General features: G+C 39.9%; 1 long non-coding RNA gene across 22 annotated transcripts in view; it reads left to right on the forward strand.

The window, feature by feature from the left end:
* LINC01643 (long intergenic non-protein coding RNA 1643) overlaps positions 1-19428 on the forward strand; it is a 201365-nt gene that overhangs the window by 113366 nt on the left and 68571 nt on the right. Inside the window, exons 6-7 of one of the 22 annotated variants that reach the window (NR_183600.1) lie at positions 17199-17335; positions 19127-19222. The exons of 20 other annotated variants lie outside the window; for them this stretch is intronic. This is a non-coding gene — a long non-coding RNA (long intergenic non-protein coding RNA 1643). The remainder of the gene's footprint in view (positions 1-17198; positions 17336-19126; positions 19223-19428) is intronic. One more of the 22 variants, NR_183598.1, reaches the window with a different exon arrangement.

The raw sequence follows: 19428 nt of genomic DNA on the forward strand, positions 1-19428 counted from the left end.
CTGCTTAACAAGAATCTACAGAATGGGCCGGGCACGGTGGCTCATGCCTGTAATCCCAGCACTTTGGGAGGTCAAGGTGGGTGGATCACCTGAGGTCGGGAGTTTGAGACCAGCCTGACCAACATGGTGAAACCCCATCTCTATTAAAACATACAAAAATTAGCCGGGCTTGGTGGCGCATGCCTGTAATCCCAGCTATTCGGGAGGCTGAGAGAAGAATCGCTTGGACCTGGGAGGTGGAGCTTGCAGTGAGCCGAGATGGTGCCATTGCACTCCAGCCTGGGCAACAAGAGTGAAACTTCATCTCAAAAAAAAAACAAAAAAAAACAATCTGCAGAATGTCTGAATGCATGTTTGTTTTCATCAGGTAAAAGGTTTGATTTTGGCATTCTTTCCTTCTTTCATTTATCATCTGAAGGCCTCCTCCATCATTGTATCTGACCTCTAGGCAGACAGAATTTCCCATGCTGGGGACATGTGCTTCATTCTTGGGCCAGAGAGCCCATCCTGCCTGGTGTATAAGCTACAGTTTGCTGACTCCATAGTCCCAAAGTATCCGTCACTCACCAGCTTTGAATCTAATTTTTAGTCTTTTTCACCTTTTCAATGACTGTCTCCACTATACCAAACTGCTGCTAGAGGAGTTTTCCTAAAAAACACTCATTTGATAAGTGTATTGTCCTGCTTAATCTGCCATAGCCCGTTAGTTTCTGCAAGATACACCCATCACTTGCCACATGTATTAGGATTCTCTAGAGGGACAGAACTAATAGGATATATGTATATATGAAAGGGAGTTTATTAAGGAGAATTGACTGACAGGATCACAAGGTAAAGTCCCACAATAGGCCATCTGCAAGCTGAGGAGCAAGGAAACCAGTGGTGGATCAGTCTGAGTCTCAAAACCTCAAAAGTAGGGAAGCTGACAGTGCAGCCTTCAGTCTGTGGCCAAAGGCTCAAGAGTCCCCGGCAAACCACTGGTGTAAGTCCAAGAGTCCAAAAGCTGAAGAACTTGGAGTCTGATGTTCGAGGGCAGGAAGCATCCAGCACGGGAGAAAGATGAAGGCTGGAAGACTCAGCAAGTCTGCTCTTTCCTCTTTCTTCTTCCTGCTTTATTCTAGCCCCACTGGCTGCTGATTAGATGGTGCCAACCCAGATTAAGGGTGGGTCTGCCTCTCCCAGTCCACTGATTCTTATGTTAATCTCCTTTGGCAACACCCTCACATACACACCCAGGAAAAATACTTTGCATCCTTCAATCCAATCAAGTTGAGACCCAATATTAACCATCACAGCACACATAAGATCCTTCATGAACCCTCTAATGCTCTCTGGAGTCAAGGGCACACAGGGCTTCTCATCATGGCCCTGACAAAAACCTGACCCTCCGTGATTTTATGACTTTGTTCTTGCTGTAACGTTCTCATCCTTTCTTCTCTGCCTGGTGAGTTCCTCAGCTTAAATGTTACCTCTATTGTGATGCCTAACTCCACCAGGCAGGTAAGCTCTTCTCCACTCTGTATATTCGCAGCATTTTGTTCATGACTCTTTTCTAGTACTTAGCATATTGTTTAGTCACTTGTGTGTTTGTTTACATGTCTTATGCCCCCATTAGTGTGCAAGCTGTTTGAGGGCCAAGATTGGGGTTTTGTTATTAACGAAGCTGGATGATCCTGCTTCTGCTATGAACCATAATTTCATAGTAATTAAGAGTTAAAACTTTGGAATCAAATTACCTGAGCTGAAAACCCGGTTCTAGCCTATACTTACTGGCTCTGAGACCAAAGAAATTTACTTAACTTCTTTAAGCCTCAATTTTACATCATTTTCTTTTCTTTTTTCTTTTCCTTCCTTCCTTCTATTTTTTTCTTCTCTCTCTCTCTTTTTTTTTTTTTTAGAGATATGGTCTTGCTCTGTCACCCAAGCTTAAGTCTGATGATGGGATCCTAGCTCACTGCAGCCTTGAACTCTTAAACTCAAGCAATTCTTCTGCCTCATCCTTTCAAGTAGCTGAGACTACAGGTGTATGCCATCATACTCGGCTAATTTTTTTTTTTTTTATAGAGATTGGTGGGGGGGTCTCACTATGTTGCCCAGGCTGGTCTTGAACTCCCGGCCTCAAGTGATCCTCCTATCAGTCTCCCAAAGTGCTGGGATTGCAGGCATGAGCCACTTTTTCGGCTTTCTTTTTAAAAATAAGAATAATAGTGCTTATTTATAAGATTGTTAGTATTAAACGATTTATCCCATATACAACTCTTGCCACATAGTAAACACTTAAATATTACCTGTGAGTATTATTATTCACACTGAACAATTACCACGTACCAGTTTAGTTCATCAAATCTCACAGGAATTCTATTAGGTAGGCATTATTATTTTCATTCTACAACTAAGGAAACTGAGCCTCAGGGAGAGTAAGGAACTTTTCCAGGCTTATGTGGTTGATGGGTGGTGGCGCATCCAGGCTGGGATGCTTACAAGGGGCTCAGTACAAGTTTGTCGAATCTATTTGAGGAGCCTGTTCAGTCTTTGTCCTTTCTGGTGACCAATGCAGACTTCCAATTGCCTTGGTTGCTGGAGCCAGAGTTCAGCCCCAGGGGAGTTGGTCCAGTTTTTCTGCCCTGCAGCCTTCCATGTTGTTCAGGTTCTGAGCCTGACTGCATATGGGTTGGGTTTGTTTGTTTTTGACTCCATTGAGAAGATGTCTCCCGGCCCATTCCCAGGTCAGTACACAAACTCATTCCATCTGCCTTACAATTAAGATTCAAAAGCAGACGGCAAGTAAATCTCTCCCTGTGCACCGATTCCAATCAGCAATTATGCTCTTAATGACCAGCTAAAAAGGAATTCACAAAAGCAAACCACAGTATTAAATATAGAATTGTATTGATGCTGACCTGCTGGGAGCACTTTCTGTTCCTTTTCCAGAGTGATGTCTGAGAACAAGGATATAATCTTCCTTCCCCAAACATTTTTTGCCCTTTTAAGTAGAGTCATCTCTAAAATAAAGATTTGTGGGCCAGGTGTGGTGGCTCACGCCTGTAATCGTAGCACTTTGGGAGGCTGAGGCAGGTGGATCACCTGAGGTCAGGCGTTCGAGACTAGCCTGGCCAACATAGTGAAACCCCGTCTCTATTAAAAGTACAAAAAAATTAGCCAGGCGGGTGCCTGTAATCCCAGCTACTCGGGAGGCTGAGGCAGGAGAATCGCTTGAACCCAGGAGGCGCAGGTTGCAGTGAGCCGAGATCATACCATTGCACTCCAGCCTGGGGGGAAAAAAATAGATTGTAAGGAGGTAGCCGTTCCCCAGAAGACATGAAAACACCATTTTAAAACCACAGTCCAGGGTCACATCATGTTCTCCATGAGTTGTCATAACGTGATGAGGCTGCAAGCTCCGCTTCCTCAGACCCACGCGTCTGGTGATTAAGATGTCACCTCTATGGATGAGTCCAGGTGAGCTGGTGCTTGTGCCAATGCATTATGGGGGAGTGGAGGAAGAGACATTTGAAAACCAAACCAAAAATTCTAGCACCCTTGTTGATGAACGCTTATGCTAGGCCAACCTCTGTGCTGAGATCTTTATACTTCTGATTTCTTTGGGACCTGGGAAGAGTCCTCGGAAGGGAGCCACTGCCATTGTTCCCGTTTAACAGATGAGCAGAGTTCAGAGAGCTGATTTAGCCAAGATCACCTAATGATGGCCTAAAAATCTCCACCCAAGTGTAACTGATTGGCAAACTTTGACTTTTGACTACAAACTCACGAGAGAATAACCCTGAGTCCCCCAGCTGTGGTGATGGGAATACTATGAGCATGTTTTGACTGAGTGTGTCCCGGAATGGTATTTAGCGCTTTCACAAACATTAAGCCACCTTAGCCTAACAAGCACCTTCTTGGGTAGGTATTGCCAATGTTTTTCATTGTGGTGGCCCAGCTCCTAAGTGGAACAGCCTGGGCTTGTCCTAGTTGATCACACTGCCTCTCTGGTATGGCGATTGGGGTCAGCAGTGGGGATGGGCAGGATGAAGCTTCTGCTCTTTTATGGGGTGAAGTGGGTGAGAGTAGCACCTTGCTTCACTGAAGTTGCATTCTCCATTTGGAGAAGGCCAGCTGAGAATAGAAACTCACTCTCCACTCTTTCCCATGGAGCTCAATGGCCCAGGGAACAACTTCAGAGAGACTATATTAGTTTGCGAGCACTTCTATAATAAAGTACCATAGCCTAGGGAGCCTAAACAACAAAAATTTATTTTCTCATAGTTCTGGAGGCTGGAAGTGTGAGATCAAGGTGTCAGTAGGGTTGGTTTCTTTCAAGACCTGTCTCTTCCTAGCTTGCAGATGGCTGTCTTCTGTCTGAATCTTCACCTTGTCTTTTCTCTGTGCATGTCTGTGTTCAAATTTCTTCATCTTACAAAGACAGCAGTAGTATTAGATAAGGGCCCACTCTCATGACCTCACTTTACTTAATTATCTCTTTAAAGACTCTGTCTCCAAATATAGTCACATGCTGAGGTATTGGGAGTTAGGGCTTCAACATACAATTTAGGCCATGGCGGAGACCCAGTAGAGTTTTTTTTTTTTAATCAAACATCCATAACTTGATTTTCAGTAAGTCCATATGGCAAAAACCCCGAAATCTCTCTAATTGTCAGGTTCCACATTTCTGAAACTGGCAGGTAGTTGTGAGAATAAAATGGGACAATATATTTAAAGTACAAAGCTGTTTAGGTTCTCAAAGCATTAGTTCCCGTCACTGCTGTACAGACTCTTTTCCCAACACCATAGCTGTGGCTAAGTCCCGATTGTATTCCCAAAATGTTTCTGGCTGTTCTGTGGATGGCTAAAGGCTAGGGTCAAACGCATTTCATTTGGGGAAAAAATGCTGCTTGAATTTGTGGTGGTGAACATTTTCTTGCCCACTCTCTCTGGCTTGTACTTCTATGATGGTAGAGACAATGCTAACTATTCACAAAATCTTGTTTAATATTCATCTTCTCGTGCATGCAGGCAGAGTATAGTTCCCAGCTATCCTGCAGGTAGGTTAGAGATACATGACTGGGTTCTCGCCAACAGCATGTGGGCAGAGATTACATAATCTACTCCCAGGCCATGCCAATATTTTGGATAATTTTTACTAACAGAAAAGTTATAAGGATAGTGTAGAAAGTTCCCATGTAACCTTCACCCAGCTTCCCCGGATGTTAGCGTCTTGCGTAATCACGGCACATTGGTTAAACCTAAGATACTAACGTTGGTACTTTGCTGTTAAACAACAGACTTCAGATTGCCCTTGTTTTTCCACTGATATACTTTTGTATGTTCCAGAATCCAATCCAGGATATCATATTGCATTCAGTTATCATGTTTCCTTAATCTTCTCCAATCTGTGACAGTTTCTCATTCATTTCTTCTTTCATGACTTTGACAGTTTTAAGGAGAACTGATCAGATATTTTATAAAATATTCCTCAGTTTTAGTTTTTCTGATGTTTTTCTCATTATGAAACTGGGAGTATAAGATATAATCCTATAAGGAAGAAAACTACTGATGTAAAGTGTGTTTCTTATTGCTTCATGTAGAGGGTCCATGAACTCCACATGACTTAGCACTGCTGGTGTTAACCTTAATCACTTGGTTAAGGTGGTATCTGCCAGTTTTATCTACTTTAAGGGTAGTACAGATACTCCTTGACTTATGAGGGGTTACATCCTAATAAACCCATTGTAAATGAAAAATGCTATAAATTGAAAATGTGTTTAATACACCAAACTTACCAAAGATCATAGCTTAGCCTAACCTGCTTCAAACATGCACAAAACACTTATGTTAGCCCACAGTTGGACAAAATCATCTAACACAAAGCCAGCTTTATAACAAAGAATTAAATATCTCATGAAATCGTGTAATTTATTGAATAGTGAAAGTGAAAAACAGAATGGCTGTATGGGTACTCGAAATACAGTTTCTACTGAATTCATATTGCTTTTGCACCATCCTAAAGTCAAAATATCATAAGTCAGAGATGTTTCTCATCTCCATAATTTAATCCTTGGAGATGAGTCAGTAAGTCCAGCCTACTCTCAAGGGTTTATTCTAGCTTCCCCTCTTTGCTTATTTTTAACTTCTTTTCTGTGACAGTAAAAAATGTAGTTTCCATTATCTACAATTTATTTAGTTATTTGTTAATCCCAGTATACAATTAACACACCATTTTTCAAGGTTAATTAGGTCAACTCCCTTTTTTTCTACTCCCATCGGTGAGGTTATATGATATATTTGTATATTTGTAATACAGTTAGATTTCTTTTCTTTTTCTTTTTTTTTTGTTTTTTGACAGAGTCTCACTCTGTCCCCCAGGCTGGAGTGCAGTGGCATGATCTCAGCTCACTGCAACCTCTGCCTCCCGGGTTCAAGCGATTCTCATGCCTCAACCTCTGTAGTAGTAGCTGGGATTAGAGGCACCTGCCACCATGCCTGGCTAATTTTGCATTTTTAGTAGAGACAGGGTCTTGCCATGTTGGCCAGGCTGGTCTTGAACTCTGGACCTCAGGTGATCCGCCTGCCTCAGCCTCCCAAAGTGCTGAGATTACAGGCATGAATCACTGCGCCTGGCCTAGATTTATTTTTCATGTCCTGGATTCCATCCTGGTTTCCCTGGGCATCCTAGTCGCTTTTTATAAAAACTGTGTACAGTACAATTGACTCTGTAAGAATTCTGACAAATACATAGATTCATGTAACCACCACTTCAGGGCCACAGAGAATCGTTCCACAACCCTGAAAAATCCCTTATATGGACTCCATGTAGTCACCCCCTTCCCTTCTCCCAACCCTTGGCAACCGCTGATCTGTGTTCTGTTCCTAAAGCTTCGCCTTTCCTATCATATCGTATACATAGAATCATATGATATGAATGCTATGAAGTATTTTGGTTCTGGACTTCTTTCAACTGACAAAATACATTTAAGATGTATCTATGTTGCTGTTGAATCAGCAGCTTGTTAATTTTTTTTTTTTAGAGCTGAGTAGTGTTCTATTGTATGGATGTGCCACAGTTTGTTGATCCATTTAGAACTTTGCATATTTTTTCCTGCCCGATAAAAACATTTCTGTCATTATTATTGTAAAGACCTCATGAACATCCTGTTTTTGCCTTGCCCTAACCTTGAAGTGGGACTCAGTACCTCTTTATAATCACTCCTGGAAAGAATCCTCTTTTCAAAGTATTAGTGAGCAATGAAAATTTTGCTCAAGATTTTGTAGAGGGAATTCAGAAGGGCTTTACATGGTACACTCTGCAACAAACACCAAATTGTATGGTATTTCCAGATACCCCATCGTGTGTGTGTGTGTGTGTGTGTGTGTGTGTGTGTGTGTGTCTTCTTCTTTCTCCTCCTCCTTTTTGTTTTTTTTTTTTTTGAGACAGAGTCTAGCTGTGTCACCTAGACTGGAGTGCAGTGGCACCATCTCGGCTCACTGCAACCCCCGCCTCCCAGGGTCAAGTGATTCCCCTGACTCAGCCTCCTGAGTAGCTGGGACTACAGGTGCGCACTGCCACTCCCAGCTAATTTTTTGTATTTTAGTAGAGACACGGTTTCACCATGTTGGCCAGGATGGTCTCGATCTCTTGACCTCCTGATCCACCTGCCTTAGCCTCCTAAAGTGCCGGGATTACAGGCGTGAGCCACTGTGTCCAGCCTCTTCTTTCTCTTTTACCCCACTCAGGGCTCCAACATCTAGGTGGTGCCTTCCAACTCCCAGACCTTCTTCCTCTCCTCCTTTCCATTACTCTCTCTCATTCCCTGTCTCCTGATGATCTAGAATAATTTAGCTCTGATTCCTCCAAGCTTACCTTCCACAACCATCACCCTGCTCAGCAAACAGAGAACCCTGTATTCACCAGATTTTGTCTTTCTCAGTAAGTAATGCCTATGTTTTCTATCACATTATTTTTTATAACTTCCTACTGTTGATGTGAGGGCTACCTGAATGAATGAGGTAATGTATATGAAGCCTTTTACACAATAGCTGGCATATAACAAAGTACTAAATAAATTGTAATTTTTATTATTGTTATTTTATTATAACTACTCCTGGTAAGAGATGGCTAATGTAGGAAGCTACCAAATAAAGATGTATTACTTAGATCTTTCGTGGCTTGTTTTACCTTTGACAAGAAAAGAGACTTCTAGAAAGAGTCCTGTTCAAGGATGAAGCTCAGAAAGACTTCAGGAAACAAGGAACCCCTACCTCTGAAGCAATTCTTGAAAGCCTTGGTAGGAGTGATTATTGATTAAGTGTCTGCGGTTGATCTACCCCAGGGGTGAAGGTTGCCTGCTTACTAAGAAGAAAACCTGCTGACCACTGGCCTTGTTAGACAGAACCTTGCTAGGTTCCTGGAGAGGTTTCCTGGCTGAGGTTGAGAGACAGAAATTCACCCATCTGTCAGAGATTTTGCAGGCCCAGCCCAGCTTGAAAAGCAGGGCCATGTACATGACCTTGGGATGGGCTTTTGCTCACATCTTCACTATTCTGATACCCACAGTCTGATTTGAGATTCTGGCTTGCTTACTGTGCAGCTGGATGATGTAAACAAGGTGTATTTTTAGTCTCTTGCATGATCTCTTTTAAGTTAGAACCAAAGTTGTCATCTTCCTCTTAACACAGGCTCCTCCTCTTCCAGGGTTCCCTTTCTCAGGAAGAGCAGCACCATTCACACAGCCATCCCCTGAAGCCTCCCTGAATAGTTTTCTCCCTGATCCAGTCACTTTTTCCGTCCCATAGATTCTACTTCTACAGTATCTCTCAGCTCCATCCCTCTCCACTGCCTCTGGCTTCCTTTATGCTCTCATCAGCTCTTTACTGGCCCAGCTTTTGCTAGTCTCACTCCTGCTATAATAAAACAAGGCAAAACCTAAGTGACTCCCTCATCAGTCAGGTTATGCTATCTTATATGTGTAACGAAACAATGAACTCCAAAATCCCCAGGGCATTCAGCAACAAAGGCTTATTTCTCACACACACACTACACACTTCTCACTAGTTGGCTGTATTTCTCTGTTCCACGTTACTCCAGGCCATACTCTGGAATGGAGCAGCTACCTTATGGAATAATGATGGTGTTTCTGTCTGAGACAAGGAGAAGGGGCCGGGCATGGTGGCTCACACCTGTAATCCTAGCACTTTGGGAGGCTGAGAAGGAGGATCACTTGAGCTCAGTAGTTTGAGACCAGCCTGGACATATAGTGAGACCTCATCTCTGCTAAACATGAAAAAAGATAGCTGGATGTGGTGGCTCATGCCTGTAGTTCCAACTACTCAGGGGGTGGGGGTCAGGGGTGCTAAGGCAACAGGATCACTTGAGCCTGGGAGGTGAAGGCTGCAGTGAGCCATGACCAAGCTACTGCACTCCAGCTTGAGCAGCAAAGCAAGATTCTGTCTCAACAACAAACAAACAAAAAAACAGAACAAAACAAAAAACAAAGAGAGGGAACATTCCTTCTATGTCACAGGTTACGAAAAAAAAAAAAAAGGGAACATGGTGAATTGTTTCTAAAACATTTTCCTGGAAGTAACACAAATGACTTTTTGTCATATTTAGTTGGCCAAAACAAGTCTTAAACCTGATTTCAATGGAATTTGGAATTATAATTTTAATCAGATGTTGGTAAGCACTTAGATAGTCTGCCATACTCCTATTATATAAAGTCCTTAGCTTGGCAACAATTGATATCCACTGGGGTTTTGCGTCACATCTGGGATGAAATCCTTCAGCATTTGTATGTACTTTTCCATTAGGATCTAGGCACTCATTCACAGCTCCATTTTTCTAACCATCTCTCCACGAGTTTATCTAACCGACATATTTTCAGCCAATTCTTGTGTAAGTAATTGGGCATACAGGGATAAATAAGACACAAAACCTGTCCTGAAAATTTCATAAATGGAGAGATATACAAACAAGTGCACTAAAAGCTTGATTATAGAAAATTATGAACATATTCAAGTATGAATAACCTAGTATCATGAACTCCCTTGGACCGGCATCCAGCTTCAGCAATTATCAATTCATTGCCATCATCTTTGTCTCTATCCCCACCAGTATCCCCCATATTATTGTTTTTTAATTGGAATTTTTATTGAGATCATTGTAAATTCACATGAAGTTTTAGGAAATAACACAGAGATCTGTGTATCCTTCATGCAGTTTTCCCCAACACAAGCTTCTTGCAAAACTATATGCAGTACAATATCACAACTAGAATATTGACATTGATACAATCTATCAATTTTATTCATATATTCTCAGTTTTACTTATATTCTTATATTCATTTGTGTGTGGATGTATTTTGTCCATGTTATTTTGAAGCAAATCTGAGACATTATACAATTGCCCCCAAATTGGTATAGTATATATGTTTACAAAATAAGGACTCCTTAAAAAATATTATCATTACCATACCTTAAAAAGTTACTCCTAATTCTTTAATGTCATCAAATATTAAGGTAGTATTCAAATTTCCATTTTCCATAAATGTCACTTTTTAACAGTTTGTTTGAATAAGGTCCACACCTTGTGACTGGTTGACATGTATTTTAAGGCTCTTAAAATCTAATGTATACTTTCCTCCTTCCTCTTCCTCTCTCTTTTCCCCTCGCAACTATCTCTTTTGTCCTTTATAGTTTCCCATGAGTGATTATATCCACGTTATATTTAAAAATGTTTCCCTGTCCTCTTTATTTCCTGTACATTGGCAGTTGGATCTCAAGATGTGGTCAGATTCAGCTTCAATATTTTTTGGCAAGACTCTTCCAAAGGAGGCATGTAAAGTCTGGCTGTCTCTCTTTTTTGTGACATTGGTGTTCCTTGTCAATGTTGATTAATCAGGGGTTACAAAATGGCAACATTCTAATTCTATTGCTCCTTTCTGATTCAATATAAAATTACTGATTCCAGTAATCAACTTATCGCCTCTACTATTTGGTTACCAAGAAGGCAGGTATTTAAATAGTAAATTGAATTCTCTAGTATTTTCCAGTAATGACCAATTACTTTTAAAATTTTAGGCATCATTATGTACTCATGAGTGAAAACACATTTGATGTATTTTAATCCATTGAAGTTATTTTTCGTTCCTGTTCAAAGTGTTCATTTTTGGCCCATGGGAGTCTCTTCAAGTTGGCTTCTGATTTTTTCAGCATTAGTCTTGGTAGTCTTTGATGGTTTCCTAGGAATCTCGTATGGCAAAATGTTAGGCTCTCTGTCCATTTCCTGCTCCAGACATGGAATCAGTTGTTTCTCCAAGGAGTCCTGATATATTCTACTCTACGTGTATGTGTGTTTAACGTTCACATGTAGTCCTTGTGTTGCTTTTGCTACAGCGATTTTGGCTAACTGAAGCTCACACTCACGTGGTGGGAACCCAAGAAGGGCTCATGAGAACAATATTCTCTTAGTCCTTTTTTGATGACAGCCATTTGTTTAGCTGCCTTTTTGTTTTTGGCAGGGTCTAGCTCTGTCAGCGAGGCTGGAGTGCAGTGGCACGATCAAAGCTCACTGCCCTTAAACTCGTAGGCTTAAGTGACCCTCCTACCTCAGCCTCCTGAGTAGCTAGAGCTGCAGAAATATGCCACTGTACCCAGCTAATATTTTTAAATTGTATTTTGTAGAGACTGAGTCTCATTGTGTTGCTCAGGGTGGTTTCAAACTCCTGGCCTCAAGCAGTCCTCTCGCCTTGGCTTCCCAAAGTGCTGGGATTACTAATGTGAGCTCCTGTGCCTGGCCCATTTGTCAGCTTTTATACCTGAAGGTTAGCTTGGCTATATACAAAATCCTTGGCTCACTTCTTTTCTTTCTTTTGATGTATTAAATATGTTATCTATGGTCTTCTGACATAATGTACTGCTATCAAAAAATTTGATGGTCATCTGATATTCTTTCCCTTATATGTGACTTACTCTTTGCACTTGGATGCTTCAGTACTTTTTGTTTTTTATGTAAGTAAAGGAATTTTGTTAGAATATTTCTCTATATTGCTTGGCCTGGTTTGACTGTACCTAGATATAAGATGTGCCCTTTGAAATGCAGTCTTAAACTTAAAACAACATTTCATTTTATTTATCTTTCTTTATACTTTTAAGTTCAGGGGTACATGTGCAGGTTTGCTATCATATATACATAGGTAAATTGTCATCGGGGTTTGTTTTACAGAGTATTTCATCACCCAGGTATTAAGCCTAGTACTCATTAGTTATTTTTCCTGATCTTCTTCCTCCTCCCACTCTCCACCTGCTGGAAGGCCCCAGTGTGTGTTTTTCCCCTCTGGGTGTTCATGTATTCTTATCATTTACCTCCCACTTATAAGTGAGAACATGCAGTATTTGATTTTCTGTTCCTGTGTTAGTTTGATAAGGATAATGACCTCCAGCTCCATCCATGTCCCTGCAAAGGACATAATCTTGTTCCTTTTTGTGGCTGCATAGTATTCCATGGTGTATATGTACCACATTTTCTCTCTCCAGTCTGTCATTGGTGGGTATTTAGGTTGATTCCATGTCTTTGCTCTTGTGACTAGTGCTGCAATGAACATACGCATACATATGTCTTTATAATATAGCAATTCATATACCTTTGGGTATATACTCAGTAATGGGATTGCTGTGTCAAATGGTATTTCTGGTTTTAGGTCTTTGAGGAATCGCCACACTGTCTTCCACAATGGTTGACTAATGTACACTCCTAAAAACAGTGTGTAAGCATTCCTTTTTCTCTATAACCTCACCAGCATCTGTTATTTTTGACTTTTTAATAATAGCCATTCTGACTGGTGTAAGGTAGTATCTCATTGTGGTTTTGATTTGCATTTCTCTAATGATCAGTCATGCTGAACTTTTCTTTATACGATTGTTGGCTGCATGCATGTCTTCTTTTGAAAAGTGTTTGTTCGTGTCCTTTGCCCATCTTTTAATAGAGTTGTTTGCTTTTTCTTTGTAAATTTAAGTTTCTTATAGATGCTGGATATTAGATCTTTGTTGGATGCATAGTTTGCAAATATTTTTTCCCATTCTGTAGGTTGTCTGTTCACTCTATTGATAGCTTCCTTTGCTGTGTAGAAGCTCTTTAGTTAATTAGATCCCATTTGTCAATTTTTGGTTTTGTTGTAATTGCGTTGGTGTCTTCATCATGAAATCTTTGCCCATTCCTATGTCCTGAATGGTATTGCCTAGGTTGTCTTCCAGGGTTTTTGTAGTTTTAAGTTTTACATTTAAGTCTTTAATCTGTCTTGAGTTGACTTTCGTATATGGTATAAGGAAGGGGTCCACTTTCAATCTTCTACATATGTCTAGCCAGTTATCCCAGCACCATTTATTGAATAGGGAATCCTTTCTCTATTGCTTGTTTTTGTCAGATTTGTTGAAGATGTGATAGTTGTTGGTGTGTGACCTTATTTCTGGGTTTTCTATTCTGTTCCATTGGTCTATGGGTCTGTTTTTGTACCACTACTATGCTGTTTTGGTTACTGTAGCCCTGTAGAATGGTTTAAAGTTGGGTAGTGTGATGCCTCCAGCTTTGTTCTTTTTGCTTAGGATTGCCTTGGCTATTTAGCCTGTTTTTTGGTTCCATTTGAATTTTAAAATAATTTTTTCTAGTTCTGTGAATGATTTCAATGATAGTTTAATAGGAATAGCACTGAATCTATAAATTGCTTTGGGCAGTATGGCCATTTTTTCGATATTGATTTTTCCTGTCTGTGAGCACAGAATGTTTTTCCGTTTGTTTGTGTCATCTCTGATTTATTTGAGCAGTGTTTTGTACTTCTCCTTGTAGAGATATTTCACCTCCCTGATTAATTGTATTTCTAAGTATTTTATTCTTTTTGTGGCAGTTGTGAACGGGATTGCTTTCCTGATTTGGCCCTCAGCTTGACTGTTGTTGGAATGGAATGCTAGTGGTTTTTGCACATTGATTTTTTATCCTGAGATTTTATTGAAGTTGTTTATCAGCTTAAGAAGCTTTTAGGCTGAGACTATGGGGTTTTCTAGATACAAGATCATATTGTCTGCAAACAGGGATAGTTTGACTTCCTTTCATCCTATTCGGATGCCCTTTTTTTTTTTTCTCTTGCCTGATTGCGCAGGCCAGGACATCCAATACTATGAGGATTGGTGATGGAGGGCATTCTTGCCTTGTGCTGGCTTTCAAGGGGAATGTGTCCAGCTTTCACTCATTCCATATGATGTTGGCTATGGGTTTGTTATAGATGGTTCTTATTATTTTGAGGTATATTCATTCAATACCTAGTTTATTGAGAGTTTTTGACATGAAGAGGTGCTGAATTTTATTGAAAGCCTTTTCTACATCTATTGAGATAATCATGTGGTTTTTGTCTTTAGTTCTGTTTGTGTGATGCATCATGTTAATTGATTTGTGTCCGTTGAACCAACCTTGCATTCCAGAGATAAAGCCTATTTGATCATGGTGGAAAAGTTTTTGATGTGCTACTTGAATGAGCTTAAAACAGCATTTTAAAGTAATTGTTTTTTGAGTTATAGTTTTAGGATTTATTTTGTTTATTTTCTTTGGCTTTTTTCTTCTAGCACTCTATGCGCATGTTGGGTTATCTGATTATCTTCTATATTTGTCACTGTCTCTTGTGAATTCTTATTTATTTCTTTTAATTAAAAATTTCTTCTGTTCATCTTCTGTCTCTTTTATGGTACTATCTGGGCCAGGTGCAGTGACTCATGTCTGTAATCCCAGCACTTTGGGAGGCTGAGTTCAGCAGCTCACTTGAGGCCAGGAGTTGGAGACCAGCCTGGTCAACATGGTAAAACCCTGTTTCTACCCAAAATACAAAAGTTAGCTTAGTTGGGCATGGTGGTGCTCACTTGTAGTCCCAGCTTCTCAGGAAGCTGAGGCATGAGAATTGCTTGAACCCAGGAGGTGGAGGTTGTAGTGAGCTGGAATCATGCCACTGCATGCCTGGGTGACAAAGCAAGACTGTGTCTCAAAAAAAAAAAAGTACTATTATTTACTGTTCTGTTCAGTGTCTTCTATTTTAGTCTTCATTTCTGAGCTTTTTTTTTTGAGACATAGTCTTGCCCAGTTGCCCAGGCTGGAGTGCAGTGGTGCACTCTTGGCTCACTGCAACCTCTGCCTCCTGGGTCCAAATGATTCTCCTGCCTCAGCCTCCTAAGTAGCTGGGATTACAGGTGCCCACAACCACGCCCAGCTAATTTTTGTATTTTTAGTACAGATGGGGTTTCACCATGTTGGCCAGGCTGGTCTTGGTCTTGAACTCCTGACCTTGTGATCACCTGCCTTGGCCTCACAAAGTGCTGGGATTACAGGTGTGAGCCACTGCGCCTGGCCATTTCTGAGCTTTTTTTGTTGTTGTTTCTAATTTTTTCCTGAGTTTTATCATTCTACATTTTAGTGTATTTTATTCTGATAAGTGATGTTATTTCTTAATAGCTTCTATTATTGCTTCCAATTCATTTTTGTTTATTTTTAAATATTAGGTTATAAACAGTTTCATCTGTTCCTTCCAAAAATTTTTGTCTTGCTTTCATGATATGTAAGGACATTATTTTGCTCTTAATTCGCTGTTTTTATAATTATGCATGGGAATTAAGCATAACATTTTCTGATGCTCATTTTTATATGAAAGTTATTTTTCTGCAATTTTTGGAGGAAGAGGTAGGTCAGGATGGATTTTATAGTATTAGAGCTTTAGAGTTCTCTTTTCTGCTGTTTTTGTAAAATGTTAGAAATTCAAGGACTTAACTAATTCTGAGATCTCATGGCTTCTTTTTCTTCTACTTTAGTCTGGACTTTGTTGCCTTTTGTCTTTGTTGTTTCTGTCCTGCTCAACTTCAACTCTATTCCTAGTATGTCTCCCCATTGTGAGACTTGATGTTGAAAGGGTATTTATCATATGTTGACCAGTTAGTTTTGGGCATTCATAAAGCACACTACTTCATCCCCTTTGGATCTTGTGTGAGCCCCTTTGTATTCACTCGGATATTATAGAGGAACAATTCTTCCATAATGATATGGTTTGGCTATGTCCCTACCAAATCTCAACTTGAATTGTATCTCCCAGAATTCCCACGTGTTGTGGGAGAGACCCAAGGGGAGGTAATTGAATCATGGGGTCCAGTCTTTCTCATGATATTCTCGTGATAGTGGATAAGTCTCACAAGATCTGATGGGTTTATCAGGGATATCTGCTTTTGCTCCTTCTTCGCTCTCTCTTGCTGCCACAATGTAAGAGGTGCCGAGGTGCCTTTTGTCCTCTGCCATGATTATGAGGCCTCCCCAGCCATGTAGAACTGTAAGTCAAATTAAACCTCCTTTTCTTCCCAGTCTGAAGTATGTCTTTATCAGCAGCATAAAAATGGATTGAAACACATAGCGATTGCTATTGTCAAGTTGATATATTGCACTTATTAATGAATATGTAATGCTATTTTGGGAGTAGTTCTGGTCTCAGTCTGTCAGCTACTCTGTTGCTTCCTTCTGCCTTACACACAGGTGCTGATGCCATGCAGCAGGAATAGCAATGGTTTGTCATTTCTGGGTCTTATTTTGGTGTTTGTGTGGACTTCTTGTCACCTGGTTTTGCTGTAGATATTGTCTGTGGAATTTTGGCTTTGCTTTCTTAGTTGCTCCATATATTTTTTTTATGGGAGGGGATTCAAAAACTACCATATATCAGTAGCTGTCTTTCCAGGACTGCAAAATGTGGTTTTAGAAGTCCTAAAATGGCTTCGACACAGGCTGCTGTTGAAGTGCAGAGAAAGTCAGTGCAGAAGTGGGTGCAGGGAGGGTTTGGCTTGGAGGTCAAGAAAGGTACCTACAGGAAGTAAATTCTGTCTGAACTGAGCCTCAGAAGGAGTCATTTGAATATGAAAAAGGGAGCAAGCTATGAAGGCAAAGGTAACAGCATTTGTGAGTGGTCAGGTCCATGAGATGGCATGTTGTGAGTGGGGAATCAAAGGTCCTAGCAGATGCTGAATGAGTGTCTGTTGGGCGTGGAAGTGTGGTACCTCTCTGAATGTAAGCCTCTGTTTCCCTGCCCCAGCAACCTTGTTTTCCAGGATAGATTGGTTTTTATATATTGCTAGTTCTCACCTTTCTGGTCCCTGTGTAATTCTCATTATTCATTGCTTTTTACAATCCTCTCAGTTGAGAGCCATCTGTGAAGTTAATTTCAGCACTGTTTACTCTTTCCTCCTAAATCACTAATGAAGATGAAACATTCAATGGAATTGAGCTTTGCACCCCTTTCTGGGAAATTCCACCGAGGCTTGCTCTTGTTTCAGGTAATCATCTTGAAATCAAACATGTTATCACCCTTTGGTCAGTTGTTCATGAGGCTATTGAGTTCAAGTTTGTACTCATTTAAATTCATTTTTTTTTAAGATTCTATTAGGTAATCCAGCTTTAGTCTTCAACAAAACAATAAAAAAGGTTTAATCTCACTAGTAATCAAAGATATGCAAATTAGGACATTATTGAAGGGTTTGTGTTTTTTACTGACAGTATTTGTAAACATTTTAAAAGTTAGCACCCACTGCTGGTGAAGTGTGTTGAAATTAACATTTCCAAATGCTTTTAGAAATCAATATGGCAGGCCTGGCTTGGTGCCTTACACCTATAATCCCAGCATTTTGGGAGGCTGAGGTGGGCGGATCACCTGAGGTCAGGAGTTCAAAACTGGCCTGACCAATATGATGAAACCCTGTCTCTATTAAAAATACAAAAATTAGCCGGGCATGGTGGCACACACCTGTAGTCCCAGCTACTCTGGAGGCTGAGACAGGAGAATTGCTTGAACCCAGAAGGCGGAGGTTGCTGTGAGCCGAGATTACACCATTGCACTCTGGCCTGGGCAACAGAATGAGACTCCATCTCAAAAAAAAAAAAAAAGAAAAAAAATCAATATGGCAGTTTAGCATCAAGGTTCAAAGAGGATTTACCCTTTTCTTCGTTTTTTTGTTTGTTTGTTTTTGTTTTTACCAGTAGTGGGAATTTATCCTGAGAAAGTATTTCTGGAAGAGAGAAAAACCTTGCATGAATATGGTTGTTGAAATATTTAGCTTCATGTAATAAAAATGGAAACAAAATCTACCAGCAATGGGAGAATTATTAAATAAATTAAGGTCCATCAACTGAATGAATAGAAGAATCTCAGTAATGGGTTGCTGCTATTATTATTGTTATTAGTATCTTTGTTGCTGTTTTTATTCTTTGACCCTACATACATGTTGTTTTTTTCCCATGGCACTATGACTGCAACTCCAGTTTACTAATAAGAACATATTTTGTCCCCTAAAATAATTACCAAGAAATGACATTAAACCAATAGTTGTAACTTAGTGCTAAACTGTGGTTTACTATAAATAAGAACTTTGTAATATTAATACACATCTTCAAAGATGAAATAATATATGAATCTTCATAACAGAAAGTTACTTATCATGCCCTTAAATTGGAACCAACCCACATGTCCATCAGCTGATGGTTGGATAAATAAAATGTGGTGTCTTCATACAATGAAATATTATTAGGTCATAAAAGGAAGGAGTGATACAAGCTATAGCATACATGAACCTTGGAATTATTATGATAAGTGAAAGAAGTCAGCCACAAAAGTTCACATTGTATGATTCCATTTATATTAAATGTCCAGAATATGCAAATCCATGGAGAATAAAAAGTAAATTAGTGATTGCTTCTGGCAGAGGGGTATGGAAGAGTGGGGAGTGACATGGGGTTTCTTTTTGGGGTTAAAACAATGTTATAAAATTGATTATGGTGATAGTTGCACAACTCAGTGGCAATACTGAAAACCATTGAATTGTGCACTTTAAATGGGTGAATTGAATGGCATGTGATTTGTATCTCAATAAAACTGTTACCAAATAAACTGACTACACAAAGCCCAATTATCTAATCAACCTCTATAATAAGCAATGATTCGACCTTTGAAAAACTTAAATAGAATGCTGCAGCATTAATGTAAGCAATTCTTTAATAACACAACCTCAACTTTTCATAACTATTCCATAGCATAGTAGAGCTCTGATTTTAACATCCTCTCATTTTTACAGTTTTCAAGCAGCAAAAGCAGTTTGTGGCAATTTGCAAGACTCTGGCAAACCACCTGCACCTTTCAAACTAAAGATTTTGAACTGTTTGGTCTCCTTGTAAGTTTAGAAACAATATCAGTTAAAATCAATTTGGCTGAAAATGACAGATACCTTGAGACATAATATTAAATTAAAGATAATAGATAAAAGTTTATTTCTCCCTCACATAAACATATTTAATCCAAAGAGGACAAGGCAGTTGTATGATCACTGGGGACCTGTTCCTGTCTAGCTAGTTAATCTACCATTTCAAAACAGTGTTT

The sequence above is a fragment of the Homo sapiens genome, chromosome 22 (genome assembly GCF_000001405.40).
Source record: "Homo sapiens chromosome 22, GRCh38.p14 Primary Assembly".
Lineage (NCBI taxonomy): Eukaryota > Metazoa > Chordata > Mammalia > Primates > Hominidae > Homo > Homo sapiens.